The sequence below is a fragment of the Homo sapiens genome, chromosome 2 (genome assembly GCF_000001405.40).
Source record: "Homo sapiens chromosome 2, GRCh38.p14 Primary Assembly".
NCBI lineage: Eukaryota > Metazoa > Chordata > Mammalia > Primates > Hominidae > Homo > Homo sapiens.
Window position 1 is genome coordinate 170,681,400 of NC_000002.12, and position 26,566 is coordinate 170,707,965.

Below are 26,566 nucleotides of genomic sequence, written 5' to 3' on the forward strand. Positions count from 1 at the left end.
CTCCTAATCATGTCATGTAAATTACAGAATCCAGGCCAGACCTCAGGGAATGTGGAAAATGCTCATGTCAACTTATTTTCAGAACAGGATCTAAGAGATTTTGCAATTTTGTAAAATTGGGCATTTTTCCCCACCAATAAAATGGCAACTCTCAATTACGAGAGAAAGAGTTTACTTACAAAGATTCTCTCCAATGGCTACAAACACAACTCCTCTTTTTGCAAGTGTTCATGATTCCTGGCTGAGCAACAGCTACTTCCATGTGACAAAGCTTTGTTTGGCCCACAGGCCTATTATGGATACCAGATCTATATTGTCCCAAGTAAATTGCAACAGTAAAATGCAAACTCTTTTTAGGAGAGATTCAGACACCTCAGCCATTTGCAGCTTTCATTATGTGTAGTAAATCTCTTTTACTTAGATTCCAGCTTGCTTGCTTTCTGGACTGCTAGTGATGTTTGCTTCTAAAACAATTAGTAAAGTGTAGCTGGTTGAAGAAAGCATAATGAATAATCCTACCTGGAATAAGTTATACAGTCATCAAGCTAGTTACCAGAATTCCCAGAATGCCATTTCTAATTCCCCGACTGCCATGACAAATTGCAGTTCTTCTTTTAGGAACACTTTTTCTTTCTTTTTTTTTTTGAGACGGAGTTTCACTCTTGTTGCCCAGGCTGGAGTGCAATGGCGTGATCTTGGCTCACCGCAACCTCCGTCTCCCGGGTTCAAGCAATTCTCCTGCCTCAGCCTCCTGAGTAGCTGGGATTACAGGCATGCGCCACCACCCCGGCTAATTTTTTGCATTTTTAGTAAAGACGGGGTTTCTCCATGTTGGTCAGGCTGGTCTTGAACTCCCGACCTCAGGTGATCCACCTGCCTCGGCCTCCCAAAGTGCTGGGATTACAGGCATGAGCCACCAGGCCCGGCCAGGAACACTTTCTCTAGTCTGTAACACCAGCTATCATTCATGCAACACATTCTTACTGAGCACTTACTATGCTTCAAGCACTGGGTCAGCAGCTGAAATATCACGGTGACCAAGACAAACAAGATCCCTGCTCTCTTGGAGCTTACACGGCCTCACGTCTTCACTGGATAAGGAATGAGAGAAAAGAGAAAGGCCATAAACATAAAGCCCTTCACAGCAGAATGTTTAGGATCGATCTATGCAACTTCAAAACTATCTAAATGACACAGATGAGTTTGACAACTAAATGTGGGGGAAGGGGACTTGCCCTCACTTCAGGAGGAGCAATGGAAGAGATTGCAAGTTCATCTTAGCAACGCTTAGCAAAGCACCTGGCTTTTTTATTGTAACATTTTTGTTTTCCAGTCACTGGTTTCAAACAGACGTCACAAGCCTCTCACTAGAAAGTATGATCATCTAGAAATTATATAAATCTAGAAATTGTATGCATTTCCTTACATATTACAAAGTGCTTTACTAAATTTTGGGAATAGTTTCAAGGGGGAAAAATAAAGAAATGGAGCCTTACTTTATAGAAAGAGAAGCATTAGCCAGGCATGGTGGTGTGTTCCTGTAATACCAGCCACTGGAGAGGCTGAAACAGAAGGATCGCTTGAACCTGGGAGGTGGAGGTTGCAGCGAGCCGAGATCGTGCCACTGCACTCCAGCCTGGGCAACAGAGTGAGACTTCACCTAAAAAAAAAAAAAAAAAAAAGAAAGAAAGAAAGAAATAGAAGCATTAACACTGAGTAAAAGCCAGATTGATCTTGTGGCTAGAAGGCAGATACTTGCAACTATTTCTAGTCCCTACCTCCAAAACTTCAACACCTTTATGTCTATATGAACCAATGCGGGTACCAAAGTCATTTAAAGACTGACAGCATAGTGGCCGGGCGCGGTGGCTCACACCTGTAATCCCAGCACTTTGGGAGGCCAAGGCAGGCAGATCACGAGGTCAGGAGATCAAGACCATCCTGGCTAACAAGGTGAAACTCTGTCTCTACTAAAAATACAAAAAATTAGCCAGGCGTGGTGGCGGGCACCTGTAGTCCCAGCTACTCAGGAGGCTGAAGCAGGAGAGTGGCGTGAACCTGGGAAGCGGAGCTTGCAGTGAGCCGAGATCGTGCCACTACACTCCAGCCTGGGCGACAGAGCAAGACTCTGTCTCAAAAAATAAAAAAAAAAAAAAAAAAAAGACTGACAGCATGGCCAGGTATGGTGGCTTATGTCTATAATCCCAACACTTTGGGAGGTCAAGGTGGGCGGATCACTTGAGGTCAGGAGTTCAAGACCAGCCTGGGCAAAATGGTAAAACCCCATCTCTACTAAAAATACAAAAATTAGCCGGCATAATGGTGCACACCTGTAATCCCAGCTACTTGGGAGGCTGAGGCAGGAGAATCGCTTGAACCCGGCAGGTGGAGGTTGCAGTGAGCTGAGATCCCGCCACTGCACTCCAGCCTGGGGGACAGAGTGAAACTCCATCTAAAAAATATATATATAAAAAATAAAATAAATAAATAAATACTGACAGCAATTCTACCAGATTTTCCAGAATGTGGAAATGGAGTTTGCCCTGAACACATGAGAAAAATGAGGAAATTCATGTGAACTCAACTAAACCTGTGCTGGAAAATTTATCTGTTTCCCTGTAGGGTATTAACCTTTTATTTTTCTTTCAATATCATCAATCAACAGGTCATCTGGGCTTAGTGAACATGGGATTCAGGACTAGTTGCCAGCTTTAATGTTTTCAGGTCAACAAAGTTAGGATCCCTGTCTGTCTGCAAGGCAAGTGCTCTAGAAGTTGCTGCCTTGGCCAAGGTCTTAGATACCTATGTATAGGACACTGTCTGCTGTGGCTGGCCATGTCACCTTCACAGTGCCAGGCAGGTCACCAGCAGTGGTCACGGCCCAAGCAGCAACTAGTAGAGTAGCCCACAGAAAGGCAGCAACCCCTGGCCGGGCACCGTGGCTCACGTCTGTAATCCCAGCACTTTGGGAGGCAGAGGCAGGCGGATCACCTGAGGTCAGGAGTTCAAGACCAGCCTGGCCAACATGGAGAAACCCCGTCTCTACTAAAAATACAAAATTAGCTCGGTGTGGTGGCAAATGCCCGTAATCCCAACTATTCGGGAGGCTGAGGCAGGAGAATAGCTTGAACCCTGGAGGAGAAGGCAAAGGTTGCGGTGAGTCGAGACCGCGCCATTGCACTCCAGGCTGGGCAACAAGATCAAAACTCTGTCTCAAAAAAAATAAAAAAAAAAAAGAGAGAAAAAGAAAAGAAAAGCAGCAATCCCTAAGAATAATCTCAATGACACCTAAGTAGCAATCTGATAACAGACTAAGTTCACATATTTGCCCTGTCCCTAATGTCTCGCATAAATAAATGCTATATTTGACATCAATTTTTTTTTTTTTTTTTTTTTTTTTACTAAAAAGTCTCTTCTGGGATGGTAAACTGTAACATTCCTAGCAAAGACAAAAGCAATATTTTACTCTAATGGAAAGCAGGAATGACGAAATAATAAAGCCCATTAAAAGATGGTAAATAAATTTTGGCCTATAAATTTCCTTAGGATTGTTGAAAAATATCATTAATTTCAGAACTCTCTAAATATCCAGGAAACTGCAATTTAGACAACAGTGCAAGAACCCTTTATATTTATATTAGGCATTTTGTAATAGGTTAAATTCTTTGCTTAAATTATATAATCAGTAACAGTTGAATTCTTAACATTTAAAGGAACGGTTTAAGAAATTAGTAGTACATGTGAAAATTAAAGTGTTTCCAGTTTCATTGCTATAATTATAAAAATTCAAAAGGGATTGAGTACTTGACAAAATAACTCTTAATTTTACTAACATTGTTCAAAACACATTTATTGAATATTTGCTATGTGCCAGGTACCATTTATCTGGTACAAAGAGCCCCAGAAAAACACTAAAAGTGACAGGGAAGGAAAAAAAGAAAAAAGGAGGGGGGAAAATCAAGAAAGAAAGAGGATATTTACTGCTCAATGTTAAAACACACTATAAAATTACAAAAATAAGAGCATTTTGCTGGCACCAGAATAGACAGAGAAATAGAACAGCAAAGATATGAAATAAACACAAGTATATCTTCATATTTCTTATGATGCAAGTGAAATTTCAAATCAGTCCAGAATAATTCAATACATGGCATTGAAAAAAATTAAACTTTCAAAAAAAATACAGTTCAGTCCTTGTCAAAAACTGTGAGGGCCTCGGGCTTTTTACCTACTTGCAAACTACCAAGTTAGCCTGCTGTAGTTTCACGGATATTGGCAGAAGGTACAAGACTTTTGGGTCAGAGACAAAATGGCAGTAGCAGCAGCCTGGAGGTCAACGTTTACACCGGCTCCCTGAGCCCCCATTTCCCACAGGGTGATGTGAAGAGGGCCAGATGCTGCCTGCAGGCAGTGGGGTGGATTACAGGAGAGGAATCCCAAGCTGAAGGAGCTATGCTCTTTTGTAATGGGCAGTATGCCTGCTTGATCTTTGCCACTGATCTTTATTACATGCATAAGCCACCAACCTGCTCTCTGCTCCTAAGAGGAAACCATCTCTGTTTTCCAAGGCTGTTCACTATACACACTCTGAAAAGATAGTTGAGGTCGAAGCAGTGCCTTCGCTCAGAAAACATGCAGCAACACCAGAGACATGGAGAATTGTGCCCCGCAATGGCCATTAACTAGTGCTTTATTTTAAAAGAATTCTAGATAGATTAAAGAAAGAGTTGAATATAAGAAGAACAGGGTGCATGGGCCTGTAATCCCAGCTATTTAGGAGGCTGAGACAGGAGGATTGCTAGAGTCCAGGAATTCAAGACTAGCCTGGGCAACATAGTGAAACCCTGAGAAAGAAAAGAAAAAGAAAGAAAAGAGAGAGGAGAGGAGAGGAGAGGGGAGGGGAGGGGAGGGGAGGAAAGAGGGAGGGGAGGAAAGAAGGAGGGGAAGAAAGGAGGGGAGGGGAGGGAAGGAGAGAGGAGGGAAGGCGAGGTGAGGCGAGGCGGGGCGGGGCGGGGCGGGGCGGGGCGAGGCAATAGAAAAACTAGGAGAAAATGTATATGAACGTATCCATGCTTCTCAGGCAGGGAGACCTTTCTAAGCATAACATCAAAGACAACTTAAAGGGAAAAATCATAATGTATTTTACTACATAAAAATTTAAAACCTGCTCATGTCAAAGACACCATAAAATAAATTGCACTGAGGGAATGGAGTTATTGTTTAATGTGTACTGAGTTTCAGTTTGGAAAGATGAAAAAGTTTTGGAAATGGGTATCAGTGATGATTTCCCAACAATGTTAATATATTTAATGTCACTGAATTGTACACTTAAAAATGTTTAAAATGATAAATGCTATATATATTTTACAATAAAAATGTTGTAAAATATTAAATTGCACCAATAAGCTGGAAAGAAAATTTGTTCATAGGATAAAGACTAATAGCCCTACTATTTTTTTATTCAACAAATATGTATTGACTGCTATGATGCATTAGGAACATGATGGAAATCAAGACATCATGGTCTTGCCTTCAAGGACAATAATGAGCTTCTACAAGCTATTAAGAACAAGAAAAACATCCCAATAAAAAAATAAAGAAGAGCGGCATACACAGGTAGTTCACAAAATAATACAAATGGATACATATGAAAAAGTGTTCAGGCCAGGCACGGTGGCTCACACCTGTAATCCCAGCTGAGTGAGGGGGGCTGAGTGAGGCAGGAGAATCGCTCCAGCCCGGGAGATGGTGGTTGCAGTGAGCCGAGATGGCACCACTGCACTCCCGCCTGGGCAACAGGAGTAAAACCCTGTCTCAAAAAAAAAAGAAGAGCCAGGCACGGTGGCTCACGCCTGTAATCCCAGCACTTCGGGAGGCCGAGGCGAGTGAATCACGAGGTCAGGAGTTTGAGACCAGCCTGGCCAATATGGTGAAACCCTGTCTCCACTAAAAATACAAAAATTAGCCAGGTGTGGTGGCGGGCGCCTGTAGTCCCAGCTCCTTGGGAGGCTGAGGCAGAAGAATCGCTTGAACCTGGGAGGCAGAGGTTGCAGTGAGCCGAGATTGCACCACTACCTCCAGCCTGGGCAACAGAGCAGACTCCATCTCAAAAAAAAAAAAAAAAAAAGAAAAAGTGTTCAACCTCACTAGTAGTAAAATAGAAATTACAAACAAAATACCATTTTACTTTCAGAATAGCAGTTTTTTCCTTAAAGTGCTCAGTGTTGGTGAGGATACCGGGAAATGGGTACTACCCAAGTCCGCTGAAGTTCATGAATCAGCATGAAGTTCCTGGCCTGCACCCAGAGTGAATACATCAGAAACCTGAAAACCATGCTTACTTCTTGCCCAGTTATTCCCTAATAGGAAGGCATCCTAGGAGAATGGTCTGAGATACATACAAAATGTTCTTTGCAGCACTGTATATAATACCAAAAAAACAAACAAACAAACAAGCAAACACTGGAAACAATTTAAATATTCAAAGTAGGGCATTAATTAGGTAATTATGTTGCCACCATTCAATGGTATAATAGTCTTTTTCTTTTTTCTTTTCTTTTCTTTTTTTTTTTTTGAGCTGGAGTCTCGCTCTGTCACCCAGGCTGGAGTGCCCTGGCTCGATCTCGGCTCACTGCAAGCTCCGCCTCCCGGGTTCACGCCATTCTCCTGCCTCAGCCTCCCGAGAAGCTGGGACTACAGGTGCCTCCATCATGCCCGGCTAATTTTTGTGTGTGTGTGTGTTTTTAGTACAGATGGGGTTTCATTGTGTTAGCCAGGATGGTCTCGATTTCCTGACCTCATGATCCGCCCGCCTCAGCCTCTCAAAGTGCTGGGATTACAGGCGTGAGCCACCGCGCCCAGCCGGAATAATGTCCTTAAATTGGCTCAAAAAGGTAGAAAAAGAAGCCTGGCTATTAAAAAAAATACAAAACGACACTATTTTTATTTTTCAATTAAGCCTAAGTAGCCATGAAAATATTAAAGAGTTATACTAGAAAGTTGGCAATGTTTGTCTTTGTGCATTGACCATTTAATAGTTGTTGTGGCCGGTACGGTGGCTGATGCCTGTAATCCCAGCTCTTTGGGAGGCCAAGGCAGGCGGATCACAAGGTCGAGAGATCGACGAGACCATCCTGGCCAACATTGTAAAACCCCGTCTCTACCAAAAATAGAAAAATTAGCTGGGCATGGTGGCACACACCAGCAGTCCCAGCTACTCAGGAGGCTGAGGCAGGAGAATCGCTTGAACCCGGGAGGCAGAAGTTGCAGTGAGCCGAGATCATGCGACTGCACTCCAGCCTGGGTGACAGAGTGAGACTCTGTCTTAAAAAAAAAAAAAAAAAAAAAAAAGCACAGAACAAGCGGTTCTAGTTTCAGAGAAGGCAGGGCCGGCCCAAGCTCCTCTCCTTCAGGCTCCCTCACCCCCAATACCCCGAGGCACCTCTGCTGAACCCTAAGCCTTTAAGCAAGTTAAAACCTCCACATAATCTTCCAGAAGACAGATTTATAAAACAGAATAGCAGTTTATTGTCAGTAGGAAAATCTAAGCAAACTCTGAGACGATCAAGCTAAGATGACTGGGGAGGTCGCCGGGCGTGGTGGCTCACGCCTGTAATCCCAGGACTTTGGGAGGCTGAGGCAGGTGGATCACCTGAGGTCGGGGGTTCGAGACCAGCCTGACCAACATGGAGAAACCCGGTCGCTACTAAAAATACAAAATTAGCCGGGCATGGTGACGCATGTCTGTAATCCCAGCTACTTGGGAGGGTGAGGCAGGAGAATCGCTTGAACCCAGGAGGCGGAAGTTGCGGTGAGCAGAGATAGCATTATTGTACTTCAGCCTGGACAACAAGAGCGAAACTCCATCTCCAAAAAAAAAAAAAAAAAAAAAGAAAAGATGACTGGGGAGGATGAGGTCAATAGAGGAGCTGTAGGCACATTTCTCAAAGTGCTGGGTGAGAACCCCTGCATGACAACCACACAAGCCAAGTCAAGTGCCTTGTGGCTACATGAAAGGAAGTTGGGGGTATGAGTCTCCAAGGTAGGGCCTGGGAGTCTGCATGGAGACACACTCTCCAAGGAGGGGGCTGTTGCAAGGGAGAGGGTGTGGAGTGACAAAGTCCTCATGTATCAGCTCCGTCACCTAGTCTCCTACAAGGCAGGACAGGTTGTCTCAGGCCAGCTGAACACCATTTTCTCATGACTGACAAATGCTTCTTCATTCAAGTTTGTTTCCAATATTTTACCTTCAGCACCATGATCATCTGACCTTACAACATTGTTTCAGAGAACAGGAAACACCAGTAATTAAAATACTGCTAATCCCGAATGAGTCACCTGTTTAGCTGAGAGTTGGGAGAAACATCAGTCCCGTCAGTCACATTTGCCAATCATTTACGAGAATAGTTGGAGAGATTTCCGAAGATGCAACATTCATACATGCAAAACTTCATCCATACTTATGTTATTTCCAATTCAGGGAGACAGATTTCCTTCTTAGGCTCCTAATTTTGGAGATACACTCTACTTAGGGTCTGAAAATCTCTATATATTAATAAAAATCAACACTTTAAATCTGAACTCCTCATAGAAAACAAGAAGAAGATAATTTAAAAATCCTTTCTTGGCTGGGCGTGGTGTCTCACGCCTGTACTCCTAGCACTTTGGGAGGCCAAGGCAGGCAGGTCACCTGAGGTCAGGAGTTTGAGACCAGCCTGGCCAACATGGCAAAACCTCATCTCTACTAAAAATACAAAAATTAGCCGGGCATGGTGGCGGGCACCTGTAATCCCAGCTATTTGGAAAGCTGAGGCTGGAGAATCATTTAAACCCAGGAGGCAGAGGTTGCAGTAAGCCAAGATCACGCCACTGCACTCCAACCTGAGCAACAGGAGCAAAACTGCATCTCAAAAAAAAAAAAAAAAAAGATAAAAATAAATCCTTTCTTTACCAGCACTCTTTGATTAAAATAAAAACTTCTAAAGAAAAGGTAATATCCATGGCACTGATTTATTTCATTTCTGACAGCAGAATTCAGGGCCTAAAACTTTGCATTAATTACATTATTCTTTTCATAATACAAGCGATGCATCTGATTCTTTGAAACAGTTGTGGCCAGATGGAAGTATTGTGTGAATATGACAGCAGCTATGCAAGTTGTTGGATTGACTGCTCTGGGGACCAGAACTTGAGATTTCTCTGCAAAACAGAGCATAAGCAAAAGTGAAGGTTTTAACTCTAGGCGCCCACTCTCTGTCACTGAGCCTCAGCCCTGTCCTGCTGAGGCCACCAGCTCCAGGTGGAAGAGCAATTTGGTCTCCTCTCGACTTAATCCTCTCCTGTCTGTGGAGGCCTCACCAAGGGTGCCAATTCTAAAGATGGCACTGAGTTTCAAACACCTGTCCACTAGGAACTGGACTCATACCCCCAACTTCCTTTCATGTAGCCACAAGACAGACATCAGATGGTGACGACTTCTGGTCCCGCCTGAGCAGATCAGTTACACGGTGTCCAATAGCTCCCTGCTACAGCGTCACTATTTTCTGGATATTTATCTGGCTGTGGAATTTTAAATCTAGACTAAAATAGCAAGCAAAATCTTCAGCGAGCCTTGCCAGAATCATAGGCAACATGACTCCGCTTTCCTTCTATTTGATTCCCACAGCATTCCTTTATGCTCATTGTATTTTTTGTGCATTTTAAAAATGTAATTGACATTAATTTTGTGCATTGCTCTAAGTCCTTCACATTTAGGAACTGTTTTAATCCTCATAACCCTATAGGGTAGATATTGTGATTATGCCTATTTTGTAGATGAGAAAATAAGGCACAGAGAGAGAGGTTAAGTGTCCAAAGTCACAAAGTAGGAAGTGCAGGGGCTGGGAATCACCCCCAGGGAGTCTGCCTCCAGAACCTGTGCCTAAGGTATAACACCAACTGTCCACATTTTGCATATCACTAAAGCTAGGTGCAGAGAGGTTATGGCACTCACGCCGCGTGACCTTGCCTCTGCCAGCTGAAGCCCAGACTTGCTCGGCTCCTACCACCTTAGTGAGGCCTGTGGTGGTAACCTTGTGCACGTCCTCCCAGGCTGTATAGTGTTTCCCTCCGAGTGCTCACTGTCAACCTGACAGCTGGAAGCCCCTAGCAGGGAGAAGTCAGTGACCACTCCAGGCTCTGCCTTCTGCTCAGGCTTCCTTAGCCTCCACTGACCTGAGTAAGGAGCAAACCAGGACTTTCTCAGGGAACTCACTGGGAGTGAAATCCTCTCCTGCCACACACACTAACGGGACCCTGGGGTCATTCATTTGTTCATCCATTCATCATCTGTTTAATGAGGACCTACTATCAAGCACTATGCTAAGCACCAGATAAAATGTGAGCAAGACACACATCCCTGCCCCCAAGGAGCCCACAGTGCACATATAGATGGAGACAGACACAAAAAGAGGCAACTTCAATATCCAGGAGGAAGTGTCATAAAAGGAACAGCCACACTAGGGTGTTGTGGAGCACAGCAAAGGGGCTAAAACCAACAGAAGTTTCTCAGGAGGAAGTGGCGCCCACCCTCAGACTTCAGCCCCCTCAAAGTTTCATGATATACGAGTTAATGAAAGCTTGCACGTAGAACCCCAGGTGATTATTGCAATAGCCACTGAGGAGTTTTAGGCCAGGAATCAACAAGACATAAGTTCAGTTTCCAACACAATAATAATAAGCACTAGCACTTACTGAGCTGTGTTCTAAGTATCTATGTGCGTTATATTCACTGCATGCTCACAACAATACAATGAGCTGCCAGGCGCGGTGGCTCACGCCTGTAATCCCAGCACTTTGGGAGGACGAGGTGGGCAGATCACCTGAGATCAGGAGTTCAAGAGCAGCCTGGCCAACATGGTGAAACCCCATCTCTACAAAAATACAAAAAAAATTAGCCAGGCATGATGGTGGGTGCCTGTAATCCCAGCTACTTGGGAGGCTGAGGCAGGAGAAGTGCTTGAACCCAAGAGGTGGAGGTTGCAGTGTGCCGAGATCACACCATTGCACTCCAGCCTGGGGGACAGAGCGAGACTCCATCTCAAAAAAAAAAAAAAAAAACCAATACAATGAGGTTGGTGTTGCTGCCCACTTTATAGATGAGTGGCAGCACGCAGGCTCTTATTTACTCTGATACACTCCCTGCCACACAGCACAAGCTCACACAAGGGATTTAAAAAATGTTTGGGACATTTGGTATTCAAATATCTACGTTTTCACTTCCCCACCTAGTCCAAGGGTTCTTAGCCCTGCTTCTCATTGGAATCACCGGAGAAGCTTTCAAAAAAATGAAACAGGTGTGGTGGCTCACACCTGTAATCCCAGCAATTTGGGAGGCCAAGGCAGGCGGATCACGAGGTCAGGAGATCGAGACCATCCTGGCTAACATGGTGAAACTCCGTCTCTACTAAAAATACAAAAAATTAGCCGGGCATGGTGGCGGGTGCCTGTAGTCCCAGCTAGTCAGGAGGCTGAAGGGGGAGAATTGCTTGAACCCGGGAGGCGGAGGTTGCAGTGAGCCAAGATGGAGCCACTGCACTCCAGCCTGGGCAACAGAGCAAGACTCCATCAAAAAAAAAAAGAAAGAGAGAGAAAGAAAGAAAGAGAGAGACAAAGAAAGAAAAGAAAGAAAAAGAGAGAGGGAGAAAGAGAGAGAGAGAAAGAAAGAGAGAGAGAGAAAGAAAGAAAGAAAGAAAGAAAGAAAGAAAGAAAGAAAGAAAGAAAGAAAATGTGCATGAATGTTTATAGCAGCTTTATTTGTAATAGCCCCAAGCTGGAAACATGGGGAAATTTGGTATTCGAATATCTACGTTTTCACTTCTCCACCTAGACCAAGTTGTCCCAATATGCCCATCAGTAGGTGAATGGGTAAACTGTAGCAGCGCTGTACAATGGAACACTGTGCAGCAATAACAAGACCCAAAGGACAGATGCACACAACTTTGAACAGCTTGCAGGGAATTATATTCAGTGAAAAGAGCCTGTCTCAGAAGGTCACATGCTGGAAAATCCGTTTGTATGACATCCTCAAAATGATAAAATTAGAGAGATGAAGAACAGATTAGCATTGCCAGGGGTTAGGGATGGTGGAACATGGAGAGTGGGTATGACTATAGAGGGTAAAGGGGCAGCAGGAAGGAGTCTTGCAAGGATGGAATAGTCTGGGTCCTGACCGCGGTGGTGGTTACACAACACAACAAAACAACAAAATTGCATGTGTCATAAAATGGCAGGAACTATACACAGTGCACCAACGCCGATGTTGTATTTTTTGGTTTTTTTTTTTTTTTTTTTTTTAGACAGAGTCTTGCTCTGTCTCCCAGGCTGGAGTGCCGTGGTGCGATCTTGGCTCACCACAACCTCTGCCTCCCAGGTTCAAGCGATTGTCCTGCCTCAGCCTCCTGAGTAGCTGGGATTACAGGCACCCGCCGCCACACCTGGCCAATTTTTGTATTTTTAATAGAGACAGGGTTTTGCAGTGTTGGCCAAGCTGGTCTCGAACTCCTGACCTCAAGCGATCTGTCCACCTCAGCCTCCCAAAGTGCTGGGATTATAGGCATGAGCCACTGCACCCAGCGACGTCCTGGTTTTAATATCGTACTATAGATACGTCAGATGTAATCACTGGGGGAGCCTGAATGCAGGATACATGGGACATCTCTATTTTTGCAACTTCCTACAAATCTGTAATTATTTCAAAATAAAAGTATATTTTAAAAAGCCCATGCCTGAGCCTCACAGATTCTGATTTAATTAGTGTGGGTGGGGCCTGGGTGGCATTAGGTTTGAAAAGCTCCCCAAATAATTCTCACCTACAGCCAGAGTTAAGCACCCCTGTGGGAATCCCTAAAGATGGAGACACTCTTTTGAGTTGAGATGTTGTCTTCAAAAGCCTCTGATAGAATGCACGAGGCCGTTTATGAGGTTCCTAGCTGTCACCTGGCAGAGGACAGACCACTGAGAGGCCGGGACCCCAGACATATCCACATTACTTACGGGGGTTGGGGACCGTGGGGGGTGTCCTACAGCAGGAGGTGTGATCAGCAATCAGCAGCGTCAATCCCCAATGTGCTGGTTTGGCCGTGCTCCCTGCTGGTGTTGCCTGCGGAAGTCAGAGCCCAGATGCCCACAGAGGGATCCCAGCTCCTGCATTAAGACCTTTTTCCCGCTGGATGTGATGGTTCATGCCTGTAATCCCAGCACTTTGGGAGACCAAGGCGGGCTGATCACTTGAGGTTGGGAGTTGGAGACCAGCCTGACCAACATGGAAAAACCCCGTCTCTACTAAAAATACAAAATTAGCCGGGCGTGGTGGCGCATGCCTGTAATCCCAGCTACTCAGGAGACTGAGGCAGGAGAGTCGCTTGAACCCCATGAGGTGGAGGTTGCGGTGAGCTGAGATGGCACCATTGCACTCCAGCCTGGGCAACAAGAGCAAAACTCCGTCTCAAAAAAAAAAAAAAAAAAAAAAAAAAAAAAGACCTTTCTCCCCCTCCTGGAAGCCCTAGTCACCAGGTCCAGTTTCAGGGCCTTTTCTATTTACTCTCTTACCATAGCCTCGTAGAAAGGGTCGCTGAGTCCCAGATGGCCAACACTGATTTGCTGGGTGATAAGCCGTCTCCAGAACAGTCTCATGCACAAAGGTACCACCTTGTACCCCATGTATGTGAACGTTTTCAAAGGGGTTATTCAATTGGTATTAAGAGCAGGTCAAGAAATCCACCGCTGATTCTTGGCAGCCGGCAGCTCAGGTTTCTGCTGGAAGTCTCCAAGAGCTCCAAAAGAGTCTCAAATCAAGGAGGGAAATAGACATTTGGTGTCTGAAGCCCCCAGCTTCCCTGAGACTGCTCATCAGATGGAAGCCACGTGTGCTCCCACGTTAGCAGAGTGGCCACCCACGGAGCTGCCTGGGCAGCTGCAGAGCAGCCCTGGAATGAATGTTCTGGTCGCTGCATCTGGGTGAGTGGCAGACTTCCTGGCTGCCTCTTTTTCTTTTTTTATAGCCTCTTGGCTGCCAGTGTGCAGAGATGTTCTGGCAGCTGGGGACCCTGCTTGGGGTCAGGGTCCTGATGAGTGGCTTTGTTCTCTTAAACACTATTGTTGTCTGACTCACCTATTACTGTGAATAACTTGCTAATTTTGGCCAAAAAAAAAAAAAACAAGTTCTTAGACAATCTGCAGTAATGTGTCTTTTTATGTCGGTCAGGGGAGTATTTTCCTGCCTCCTCTTTGATATGGAAATGAGGCTGATAAGTTCATAGGCAGCCAGGAGCTGAACAGAGGAAAGAAAATTGTGTCCGTCATAAAGGTGGCTTCTGCTCTCTTCTGCAAGTCTCTGAAGAATTAGTTCTCAGAAAACGAAGTCTCTCAAAATAACTGAACATCCAATTAAGGTTTCCATGGGTGTGTGTGAGTACATTCTGGGTGTCTATAAAACATACATATTATGTGTTGCCTGATACTGCTATTCATGAATCATCTGAGACAAAGCTTCCTTGTTAAAGAAACTAACTGGGTTAAGAAAATAAAATCATCATAAATCATGCAAATCTAATCTATGGATTCACATTCATATTGTCTGGCCACAGCAGGTCTGCCACCCAGGCCTACCACCACTGCAGACAAATGAGGCTGAGATCAAGCCACAGTGCAGTTGTCTTTGATTTGGCTTCCCCCGTGGTTCTCTCCTGCATGAATACAGTAGCTCCCTTTTTAGCCATCCAGCAACCCACCTGTTCCGCTCACTCTCCTTCCCAGAAGTTTCTGATAAAATCACTTACACTTGTTGAAGGTTGGTTGATTATACTCTAAAGGGCCAGAGTGCCAATCAATCTGTTAACTCAGCAAGGCATGTGTAATTTAAGACTTCTCTCCACTGCCTGAAAGCCACTGTCCTACTTTGAGGTATTTCAAGCATCAGTGGACGGGTAGGAGTGGGGGACACTAGAGAATTCCATGCTTTTTCACTAAACTTAGCTTATTGAAGGAGGTGGGCCTGAAGTAAATAGGATTTAGCTGCTATAGGGCAAGAGTAATTTTTATTCACTAGCACTTAAAAAGATTCTTTTTAGTTTTTGGAGATAAGGTTGCTCTGTCCCCTAGGCTGAAATGCAGGGGGCATGATTACAGCTCACTGTGCTCTCCGACTCCTGGGCTCAAGGGATCCTCCCATCTCAGCCTCCGTAGTAGCTGCGACTACAGGCATGTGCCACCACACCCAGCTAACTTTTTAAATTTTTGTTGAGACAGAGTCTTATTATATTGCCCAAGCTGTTCTCAAGCTCCTGATTTCAAGTGATCCCCCTGCCTGGGCCTCCCAAAGTGCTAGGATTATAGGCGTGAGCCACAGAGCCAGGTCACTAGCACCTTTATAAAGCCTGGGTCTTCCACCGTCGCTAAGTTCCCGTCCTTCCCTCCTCTCCTGATTTTCTCTCCCTTTAACTTCTCCCTTCCCCATATCAGTCTTTCCTCTACCCCCGTCCCCTCCTTATATTCTAACCCCTCCCCTGGCTCGCTGCCCCACATCCCCAGGTGCACATTGTGTTGTCCTGCACAACCAAGGCTATTTTCCCTTCTCTCTAATGCTATTTTAAACCCTGTAATCTTTCTTTTTGGATTACCTGTAGTGCAGCCCCTCATCTCCTGGTGTGGCAGAAAAAGTACTTGCTCTGAATGTCCTCAGACCCTGGCTTCTGACCGAGGCATCTACACTAACCTGCGGGGTGGCTTTCTATGAGTAACTTCTCTGGCCCTCAAATTGCATTTCCATGTCTATCTCTAGCCTAAAATGTTATAATCTTATCTACCTTCCAGGCCTATCTCTAACCTAAAATGTTATAATCTTATCTACCTCCAGGAGCAAGGTTTCTTTAAAAACAAAAAACAAAAAAACAAAAAAAAACCACTGTCTTGATTTCAGCCTTAAGAAGGAAGGAAACCCTGGCTGGGTGCGGTGGCTCATGCCTGTAATCTTTGGGATTACTTTGGGAGGCCAAGGCAGGCAGATCACCTGAGGTCAGGAGTTTGAGACCAGCCTGGCCAACATGGTGAAACCCCATTTCTACTAAAAATACAAAAATTAGCCAGCCATGGTGGCAGTCGCCTGTAATTCCAGCTACTCGGGAGGCTGAGGCCGGAGAATCGCTTGAACCCGGGAGGCAGAGTTTGCAGTGAGCTGAGATCGCTCCATTGCACTCCAGCCTGGGGGACAAGAGTGAGACTTCATCTCAAAAAAAAAACCAGAAGGAAACCCTGATGTGCAATACAACCTAGAGGAACCCTGAGGACACGATGCTAAGGGAAGTCAGCCAGACGCAAAGGGACGAGTACCGTATGATTCCCCTTATATGAGGTGTCTGGAGTGTCAAATTCATAGGAACAGGAAGTAGAATGGTGGTTGCCAAGGGCTGGGGGTAGGAGGAGAAAGAGGGAGTTATTGTTTAACAAGTACAGAGTTCTAATTTTGCCAGATGAAAAAGTTCTAGAGATTAGTTACACAACAATGTGAATATACTTAACACTGCTGAAATGGTTATGAAATGGTTAAGATGGTCAATTTTTTGTGGGTTTTTTTTTTTTTTATAACCACAATTAACAACATTTTTTAAAGGGGAAAAAAACTGGCCGGTGGCTCACGCCTGTAATCACGGCACTTTGGGAGGCCGAGGCAGGTGGATCATGAGGTCAAGAGATCCAGACCATCCTGGCCAACATGGTGAAACCCCATCTCTACTAAAAATACAAAAATTAGCTGGGCGTGGTGGCACACGCCTGTAGTCCCAGTTACTCGGGAGTCTGAGGCAGGGGAATCACTTGAACCAGGGAGGCAGAGGTTGTAGTGAGCTGAGATGGCGCCATCGCACTCCAGCCTGGCAACAGAGCAAGACTCCATCTCAAAAAAAAAAAAAAAAAAAGGGGAGGAAAAACCCTTCTCAAACTTCACATATAAGGAAAAATAATGTTATTACTGTATTGTTGGAATCCAGAAAGAAAAGCAGGCAGGAAGAAAATGTGTCCCTTATTTCACAGGTGACGAAAATGCATTGTCAGGAGCCTTGCTAGGGTCACACATCTCTGCCTGTAGGCTCACACAGAGCGCTGAACTTCTTACTAGTTTGTCATCAAAAACAGGAAAGTTAAAGCCTCTATGGTTTCTTGTACAGCTTTTAGAAGAAAACAATGTTAACTCTTCATGCTATGCCAAGAGAGCACAGCAACATACATGTTTGTCAACTATTAATTAGGTTAGTAGAAAATAAAATACACAGGTGTTTTATATGGTTCTCCCTTTTAGATCTAAATGTAAGCCATCATATTCTTAAGCTGTTGAGGTCTGAAGAGTGATATTGCTCTTGTGGCTAATTATGTGGAAAGTTATTAACACCCCCTCCTGGTCCTGGGGTGTGCGTCCAGGGCACCACTCACTTGGCAGAGACTCCCTGGTAAAGAAAGAGACGGTGGCCTCACCCTCAGCAAGCACTGGGGATGGGAGGAGGGTGGCTGACCTGCTGTGGGCCACATTGAGATGCCCCTGCTGGAGTTCTGCTTTGCCTCAGCCCCAAAGGCACTTATTTATTTATTTATGTTTATTTATTTAAGATGGAGTTTCGCTCTTGTTGCCCAGGCTGGAGTGCAGTGGTGCGATCTCGGCTCACTGCAACCTCTGCCTCCCGGATTCAAGCGATTCTCCGGCCTCAGCCTCCCAAGTAGCTGGGATTACAGGCACTTGCCACCACGCTCGGTTAATTTTTGTATTTTTCGTAGAGACGGGGTTTCACCATGTTTGCCAGGCTGGTCTCAAACTCCTGACCTCAGGTGATCCACCCGCCTCAGCCTCCCAAAGTACCAGGATTACAGGCGTGAGCCACTGTGCCTGGCTTGCTTTCTGCATCTTAAAAACACATCCTAACAAAATAAGCACAAAATATTGTCATTGTGGCGGAAATAATAATCATTCTCGGCCAGGTGGAGTGGCTCACGCCTGTAATCCCAGCACTTTGGGAGGCCGAGGAGAGTGGACTGGAGGCAGAGGTTGCAGTGAGCCGAGATCGTGCCATTGCACTCCAGCCAGGGTGAGAGAGAGAGACTCCATCTCAAAAAAGAAATTATTCTAAAGTGACAGCTAAGTTAGGAGAGAGGCCCAAAGGTATCCAAAAGTCATGAAATCCAAAACCAAAGAGCAGTGCCCTGATTTTCGGCATCTATTCCAGATAAATTCCCATTTATTACTGTTAGATAAAAGTAAGGTTACTGAGTAACTGAAAAGGGGCTTCTGTTACAGAGGCCAGGTTTTTATATTTAAAACAGAACGTTTAAGCCAGGTGCCGTAGCTCACGCCTGTAATCCCAGCACTTTGGGAGAAGGCCGAGGTGGGTGGATCACTTGAGGCCAGGAGTTTGAGACCAGCCTGGCCAACATGGTGAAACCTTGTCTCTACTAAAAATACAAAATTAGCCGGGCATGGTGGTGGGCATCTGTACTCCCAGCTACTCAGGAGGCTGAGGCACGAGAATTGCTTGAGCCCAGGAGGTGGAGGTTGCAGTGAGCCAAGATTGCACCACTGTACTCCAGCCTGGGTGACAGAGCAAGACTCTGTCTCAAAAACTAATGATAAAATAATAAAATAGAATGTTTAGATTAAATAAATATTAACCTCAACCTCAAAAATATCTCAGGTTTAAGAGAAGCTCCCTCTCGGGCTGTGAGTGAAGGGAAATGAAAACAGTCAACATTGTTAACTTGAAGACATCATGTGATATATGAACACCATCATGGGCTGTCTCTACAGGGCTTGTGAAAGGCCACGTTAATTAACACAGTGCATCTATCACATGCCTAATAACTGCTTTCTTGTACAGGTAAAATTTAGATGGTTAACTTGAAAATAATTACACATACACACATACAATTAAGTAGTCTTGTCACATAGCATATAATGTTAGAATTCAATGTTTGTGCTTTATTAGTATGAATTTTATAATGTAGGGATTGGTGATAATCTTTTCTGAAACTGGAAGGAATTTCATCAGTCTGGTGATTGGTTGTGCTTATGTCTTCCTTGGTCAGAGAAGCAACAGTGAGAAGGAAATTCTTCCTTGGCTTGACGGCATGTAGCGTTGGCAGATAGATTAAGATGTCAGGAGGACTAGGCAAAAAATTGGCATACATTGAGACAAAACACATGCAAGCACACACTCTAAAATAATTAAATACCTAAAATAGCTGCTGGAGAGAACAGAAACAGCTACACCAGAATGGCAGAATGCTCCTCTCAAGAGACCTTCCTCCCAAATCACCTGTGATTTAAAAAATAGCTATCCTGATAGATTATATATTGTTGAAGATAACAGACTTATGTTGTTTGTTGAATATTTTACTGGAAAAGATCATAAGAGGTCATTTCACCCAGACCCATTAGTATAGTATAGAGATTAACCACTGCTTCCTCCCAACTCAATTAATATTTGAGCCACCTCCCATTTACAGAGCAGTGCACTAGAATGGTAGAAAGCCAAGGTGTATCTGTAATTTCATGGATTTGGATTACACAACCCTCAAAAATATTCAGGTCAAAATTGCTAAAAATGCAGTTTTAAGGTTATATGGGAGAAGGAGAGATTAGTTGAGAAAGGAAAAGCTAAAAAGACAGTGCTGTTCACTGGGATGTGGCTCCTGAGCACGGAAAGTGGCCAGTGAGACTGAGGAACTAAACTTTAGATTTTAATCAGTGCTATTTTAAATGTAAATAGCCACATGTGGCTACTGGCCACCACATTGGGCAACAAAGTCTTACAGGATGTGAGATTTGCACTGAGCTTGAAGGAATGATAGCTAGGAATTTGGTAAATATAGAAAACGACAATTCCAAGCAAAAGGCCAGTGCTGGTGAAAGGGCACAGGGATAGGAAAGCATCAGTCGTGGCCCAGTGAAGATCTGACATATGGTACAAGTGGATTGAAAGTGAGTAGCGGGTTAAAGTGAAAGATAAGGTAGTAAGATTGAAAACTGAGCAGGATCTTGAATGCAAGCCTAAAGAACATATAATTAATTCCATATTCAATGGGGGAACCATTTAAGGTTTTTTGAGCAAGATAAAAATATGAGCTGCTTGGTATCAGTGAAAGATAACCATCAGATAATAAGCAACATGAATGTGAGGGGTGTTTTGATTCCTTATTGCTATATAGCAAACCACCCTATACTTAGTGGAGTAAAACAACAGCCATTAATGTGCTCATAGATTTTCTGGGTCAAGAATTTGGACTGTGCACAGAGAGGATGGCTCATCTCTGCTCCATGAAATCTGGCATCTCAGCTATGGTGGCTCCAACAGCTGGAGGCTGGATCACCTGAAGGCTTCTTCCCTCACATGTTGGCTCCTGGGCTATACATTGGTTTGACCTAAAAAGGTGGGACATCTCAAAGGGGGCCCACAGGTCATAGGTAAATTCAAAGATTTTCTGATTTGCAATTGGTTAAGGAGGCGAAGCTTCATCTAAAAATTTGGAATCAGTAGTAAGAATGTTAGCTCTGGCTTGTGGGTGTGACCTCCTCGAGGCCCCTTAGGAAGAAATCTGAAAAAAGGAAGAGTGGTCAGAGTTCAGTCCTCAGTTCCCCCTTATCTGACTGAGGTCTGCATGCCAGGGGATCCATTTTGTGGGGTTCCAGGTTTCTAAAAAACAACTCAAGGACATATATTAAGAGGTGATTTTTGCCAGGTGCGGTGGCTCACGTCTGTAATCCCAGCACTTTTGGGAGGCTGAGGCAGAAGGATCACGAGGTCAGGAGTTCAAGACCAGCCTGGCCAACGTGGTGAAACCCTGTCTCTACTAAAAATGCAAAAATTGGCCGGGCATGTTGACAGGTGCCCGTTAATCCCAGCTACTCAGGAGGCTGAGGCAGGAGAATTGCTTGAACCCAAGAGGCGGAAATTGCAGTGAGCCGAGATAGCACCATTGCACTTCAGCCTGGGGGACAGAGCAAGACTCCATCTAAAATTTTAAAAAAAGGTTATTTTTAGTTTCTACAGGGAACCAAACATTCTTATGACTCTAACTTCCTTGGCTATTTTAAGCGACAATTACATTCTCGCTTATCCAATTGCTCATTTACTTCTGAGTTCTAGCCAGGTGCTTGGAATTACCCTTAAAGGAACTCAAGGTTTTCCTTTATTTCCATGCTGGGGGGGTCCCTACTCCATCTCAATACCATGATATGTGTCTTATCTCTTGACAACTATGAATATAGGGCTGGGACTTAGGACCTGTTACATCTGTCATAGAAAAACCAAAGGTACCACCACTGTGCTTACTAGTAGGAACAGCCAAAGCACAGTTCTTGCCTTACAACTGTTTACTTCTGCTTTCCAAATTTGGTACGCTGCATCTGATGGGTATGATCTAAATATTATATATGGAACCCTAGCTGCAAGGGAATCTGGAAAATATAGTTTTTTTGTTTTCTATCTTAGAGATTGGAATAGCTGAAATGAACCAATCCAAATATCTGCTACATTTGCTAATTATGCAGTTGCTTCATGTTAATTCCTAGTCTCCATGCCTAGACCCTCACTTCTCCTTTATGGCCAAAAACCAATGTGCTCTTTCTGCTCACTACAAACACTAATTATGGTTTAGCCAGTCTGGTCCCAGCTGTGACGGGGTTATGTCATTCAACCAACATTTATTGAGTTCCTACAACGTGCACTCCCTTGACTACCTCTCTCTCACATGACTCCCAAATCTGTCTCCAGCTTCACTTTTCTCTAGAGTTCCAGCTCTGAATTACTAACTACCTCCCTGATATCTCCTCAGGAACGTCCCACTAGAGCTTCAAAATAAATACATGCCCAGGAAACACCTCCCCTCTTCCCACTTTCCAAACCAATTTGTCTTCCCAAGATTTCTGATTGGTGTTTTTAAATTGGTTCAAGTTCAAACTCAGTTCTTGGCAGAACTGTGAATCAATTAAACCTCTTTTCTTCATAAATTACTGTCTCAGGTAGTTCTTTATAGCAGTGTGAGAACTGATTTATAACTTTGCCTGTGCATTAGTCTATTCTCACACTGCTATAAAGAAGTACCTGAAGGGGCTGGGCATGGTGGCTCACGCCTGTAATCCCAGCACTTTGGGAGGCCGAGGCAGATGGATCACGCAGTCAGGAGTTCGAGACCAGCCTGACCAACATGGTGAAAACTGGTCTCTACTAAAAATACAAAAATTAGCCAGGCATGGTGGCACATGCATGTAATCTCAGCTACTCAGGAGGCTGAGACAGTTAAATCGCTTGAACCAGGGAGGTGGATGTTGCAGTGAGCCAAGATCACGCCATTGCACTCCAGCCTGGGCGACAGAGCAAGACATCTGAGACTAGGTAATTTATGAAGAAAAGAAGTTTAATTGATTCACAGTTCTGTGGGCTAGACAGGAAGTATGACTGGAAGGTCTCAAGAAACTTACAATCATGGCAGAAGGCAAAGGGGAAGCAAGCATGCCTTACCATGGTAGAGCAGGCGAGAGAAAGCAAAGGGGGAAGTGCTACACATATTTAAACAACCAGATCTTGTGAGAACTCATTACCATGAGAATAGCAAGGCGGAAGTCCACCCCCATGATCCAATCACCTCCCACCAAGTCCCTCCCCCAACAATAGGAATTACAGTTCAACATGAGATTTGGGTGGAGACACAAAACCAAACCATAGCAGCCTATAACATCTTCCTCCCTGCCTTTAAAAACCCTTAACTGCAAACCATCTGGGAGTTCAGGTCCTAAGCTTTAGCTGCCCAGTCCTTCTTGCTTGGCATCCTGTAATAAATGCCTCACTTCTCTTGCTGCAATCCCAGTGTCAATGTTTGGCTTTGCTGTGCTAGGTGGGCAGACCCAAGTTCAGTCTGATAACAGTAGAGGTGGCATGAGTCTGAAGCTGGGCAGCTGTCACTATGGCTTCCCAGGAGGCAGGCAGCTTTCTGATTCCACAATCTCCTGATCCTGGCGGGAACAGCAGCTCCCTTGTCAACCTAAGTCTGTGATGTGGCACTGGGAGTCATGCCTGAAAGCTCAGTAGCAATTCTGTTTCTTCTGCCCTCCAGTCATTCTGTAAGACATTAATTTTTTTTTTTTTTTTTTTTTTTTTTGAGACAGAGTCTCACTGTCATCCAGGCTGGAGTGCAGTGGCACAATCTTGGCTCACTGCAACCTCTGCCTCCTGGGTTCAAGTGATTCTCCTGCTTCAGCTTCCCAAATAGCTGGGACTATAGGTGTGCACCACCATGCTCAGCTAATTTTTGCATTTTTAGTAGAGACAGGGTTTCACTATGTTGGCCAGGCTGGTCTCAAACTCCTGACCTCAGGTGATCCACCTACCTTGGCCTCCCAAAGTGCTGGGATTACAGGCATGAGCCACTGCGCCTGGCCTAGACATTAAATATCTTATAAGAAGTCCCTTTCTGCTTAAACCAGGTAGAATGGGTTCTGTTCACTGTGAATGAGCCCTAATGACATAGTAAACAAGAGACAAGCAGAGATTCTGGTGCAGGCTTAGAGCCTCTTGTAGCAGTTACCTAGGAGAACCTTTAAAAAATAACAAATGAGAAGGGCATCAGGGAGCAGCCATGAATAAAGCCTAGAGAAGGAGAAGAGAACAAAGGCAAAGGGGGATTGGTGCTGGTGCCCTGGAAGGGAGGATCTATATCTCTGTGATTCTGCAGGGAAAGGTGCAGAGGAAAGAGGACAGATCCAACTTGAAACTACACCATGACACTGAAACACAAATAAAAAGGGCATTGCCTCCTGAAGACCAAAAGGCCCATGGGTGAGACACTTGTCAGTCCTAAAGGATTTTAAAGAGATGATCTTTTAAATGGAAATGGGGACAGATACCTGATATTAGTGTTAGTCTATTCCCAGCTGTACCTCTAAAGATACTGGACTGATATTTATCTATATCCTTAAAATTGGTGCCTTAAATTTTCCAAGGTAAATGGCCAATTCTGTGTGCCCCCTGGTGGCTTGGGGCAAGGGGTAGGGGGAAGAAAAGAGTACTCTAGAAGTGAAAGAAAAAGTCATCATGGATCTGAACTATAATCCTTGAGGTCAAGACCCATACTTCTTTTGGGTAAAACCAGATAACAAACATCTCACGTGGGACCGACATTTTCACCATGAGGCAAATAATAAACAACCTGTAATGTGGCCAGTAAATATCCCAGACTTCATATTTAATAATTCCACCACAGACTGACATACGTGTTTAATTGTTTTTCCAATAATAGAAAGAGATTTGCACTCACCCAAGGAGGCACTCTAATCTGATGGTTAAAAGGTTGCCCTCTGGAGTAACATTACCTGCACTCAATTCCAAGAACAAGATATGGGATCTTGGGCAAATTACCCATCTATAAAATAGAGTCATTGAGAGGATTCCATGAGACTCCATGTTGTGATTGGTAGCAGCAGCATGGTCGACCAGCCACATGGTCAAACAAGCACACTGGGTGGGAGACAGCATGCAGGCTGTGGCCCCCAAAAGACCACTACCAACAGACCAGAGCAAACCCATGACCTCACCAGCATGCGTCTCTCCGGCCTAAGTTAGCCAACCCCCGCCTCCATCTAGGGGTGCTAGACTTAGAGGGGTGGAAATGGGGGGGGGGGGTTCAGACTTTATTTGCATTTATTGATATATGACAATGTTTTTCATTAAATCTTTGTTGGGTTTGTATCCAAAGTAATTCTCCTATATATTAATGCATGTTTTATTTTATTGCTATAATCCAGATCAAATTTCAAGATTTTATATATGTGAAACATTATTGCTCAGCCTAAAAGAAAGATTTATCACATTCATTTCTTTTTAGGAAATAAATGCCACCACAGATGGGTAACAGTACATGGAGAATCTTTTCTTTCAATATTCATGTTCCCTAGAAAAATGTTCACTGGAAAAATGATGAAGCTGGGTGTGGTGGCTCACATCCATAATCCCAACATTTTGGGAGGCCAAGGCGGGAGAATCACTTGATCCCAGGAGGTTGAGACCAGCTTGAGCAACATAGGGAGACCCTGTCTCCACAAGAAAATAAAAAACAAGTTAGCCGGATATGCTGGCACATGCCTGTGGTCCTAGCTACTAGGGAGGCTGAGGTGGGAGGATTGCTTGAGCCCAAAAGATGGAGGTTGCAGTGAGCCGAGATTGTACCACTGCACCCCAACCTGGGTGACAGAGAGAGAACCTGTCTCAAATAATGTATGTGAGACTCAGTTCTTTCACTCTGTGATCTCAAGGAGCCACGTTACTTCACTGGGCCTGTTTCTTCATGAGTCATAGATAGTTGCCAGGCCCTTGCAGCCAACAGTATTCTTCCCATGATTGTGGGACCCACCTGTGCTCCCCATGACCTCTCTTTTCCTCAGTGCTGGATTCTAAACTCTCTGAGGGCGCAGTGACTCTTTGTCTCAGGTCCTCTGCAGCACCTGGCACTGTGCCTGTGCTCACCTGGGCATTCTTCCACCACACTCAGTAAAGATTTGGTTTCTTGTGCCTAGAAAGAAAGATAGATGACAGAGCCACAGAGTACAAAGCCACAGTACTGTGAGCTTCTGCAGGCTCCTGCCATGACCTTAAGTTCATGCCTTATCCATGAACCTGCCTTGATTCCTTCTCACATCAAGTGGTACTTGCTACAGGGTCATTTTGAAACATGAACATTAATGACTAAATAGGAAAACATATACTTAATAAAGGAATTTTGGCACTACCTTTTCCTAACATATGTCTCTTGTAAGGAGGCCTTGTCTGTACCTAAAGATCATTCGTGTCCATGGCAGTACTGTTGAAAGCAACTGTGCGTGTCTAAGCAGGTTTACCGGAGGACCTCCCTGCCATGGGAGGCAGATGTCACCCAGGACTCCTCCCTTTGCTCCAGGTCACGGCACCCGCTCTCCTTACCATTTTTTTTCGAGATGGAGTCTCGTTCTGTTGCCCAGGCTGGAGTGCAGTGGCATGATCTCGGCTCACTGCAACCACCGCCTCCTGGATTCAAACGATTCTCCTGCCTGAGCCTCCCAAGTAGCTGGGATTATAGGCACCCACCAGCACATCTGGCTAATTTTTTTGTATTTTTGGTAGAGATGGGATTTCACCATGTTGGCCAGGCTAGTCTCGAACTCCTGACTTCAAGTGATCCGTCCACCTCCACCTCCCAAAGTGCTGGGATTACAAGCACGAGCCACTGCACCCAGCCCTTTCTCCTTACCTTCTTATCTGAGGGAATACAAATGGCAGCAGAGTGGAAGAGAAGGTGGGATTTAAACGTGTAAGGCTTGAATGTGATCAAGTAAAACACAGGACAAGACTCAGCACAAGCAAGTGTATGCGGCTGACCTGCCACAGTTTCCTACTGTCTTTTGAACTTGTGACCACCCCTTTCACTCCCAGCAACGACTGTGCCCTTGTCCTTTCAAATCAATAAAGCAGCAGCTTCTCCTTGAGTTTGTTTCACTCCCCCCAGGTCAGAAGTTATGTCCTGG

At 44.6% G+C, this 26,566-nt stretch overlaps 2 long non-coding RNA genes across 15 annotated transcripts in view, besides 2 other annotated features; both read right to left on the reverse strand.

Moving 5' to 3' along the window:
• Positions 1-26,566, reverse strand: part of LOC100130256 (uncharacterized) — a 96,216-nt gene that overhangs the window by 65,608 nt on the left and 4,042 nt on the right. For 13 of the 14 annotated variants that reach the window (NR_187625.1, NR_187623.1, NR_187620.1 and 10 more), the window contains exons 2-3: positions 1,497-1,660; positions 996-1,091 (exon numbers count right to left, since the gene is read on the reverse strand). This is a non-coding gene — a long non-coding RNA (uncharacterized LOC100130256). Of the gene's footprint in view, positions 1-995; positions 1,092-1,496; positions 1,661-13,587; positions 13,972-26,566 lie in introns of those variants that run through there. The other variant, NR_187631.1, reaches the window with a different exon arrangement.
• Positions 226-426: a silencer, noted in NCBI's record as "peak3923 fragment used in MPRA reporter construct". NCBI's record gives its function as "represses an SCP1 promoter by STARR-seq MPRAs in K562 erythroleukemia cells {active_cell/tissue: K562}" and the evidence as "EXISTENCE:reporter gene assay evidence [ECO:0000049][PMID:32103011]".
• Positions 556-1,105: an enhancer, noted in NCBI's record as "H3K27ac-H3K4me1 hESC enhancer chr2:171538465-171539014 (GRCh37/hg19 assembly coordinates)". NCBI's record gives its function as "activates a minimal SCP1, AML or CMV promoter by ChIP-STARR-seq in primed H9 embryonic stem cells {active_cell/tissue: H9 hESC(primed)}" and the evidence as "EXISTENCE:reporter gene assay evidence [ECO:0000049][PMID:30033119]".
• The window catches only part of ERICH2-DT (ERICH2 divergent transcript), a 70,399-nt gene continuing 62,801 nt past the window's right edge, over positions 18,969-26,566 (reverse strand). Inside the window, exon 6 of the long non-coding RNA NR_110185.1 lies at positions 18,969-19,180. This is a non-coding gene — a long non-coding RNA (ERICH2 divergent transcript). The remainder of the gene's footprint in view (positions 19,181-26,566) is intronic.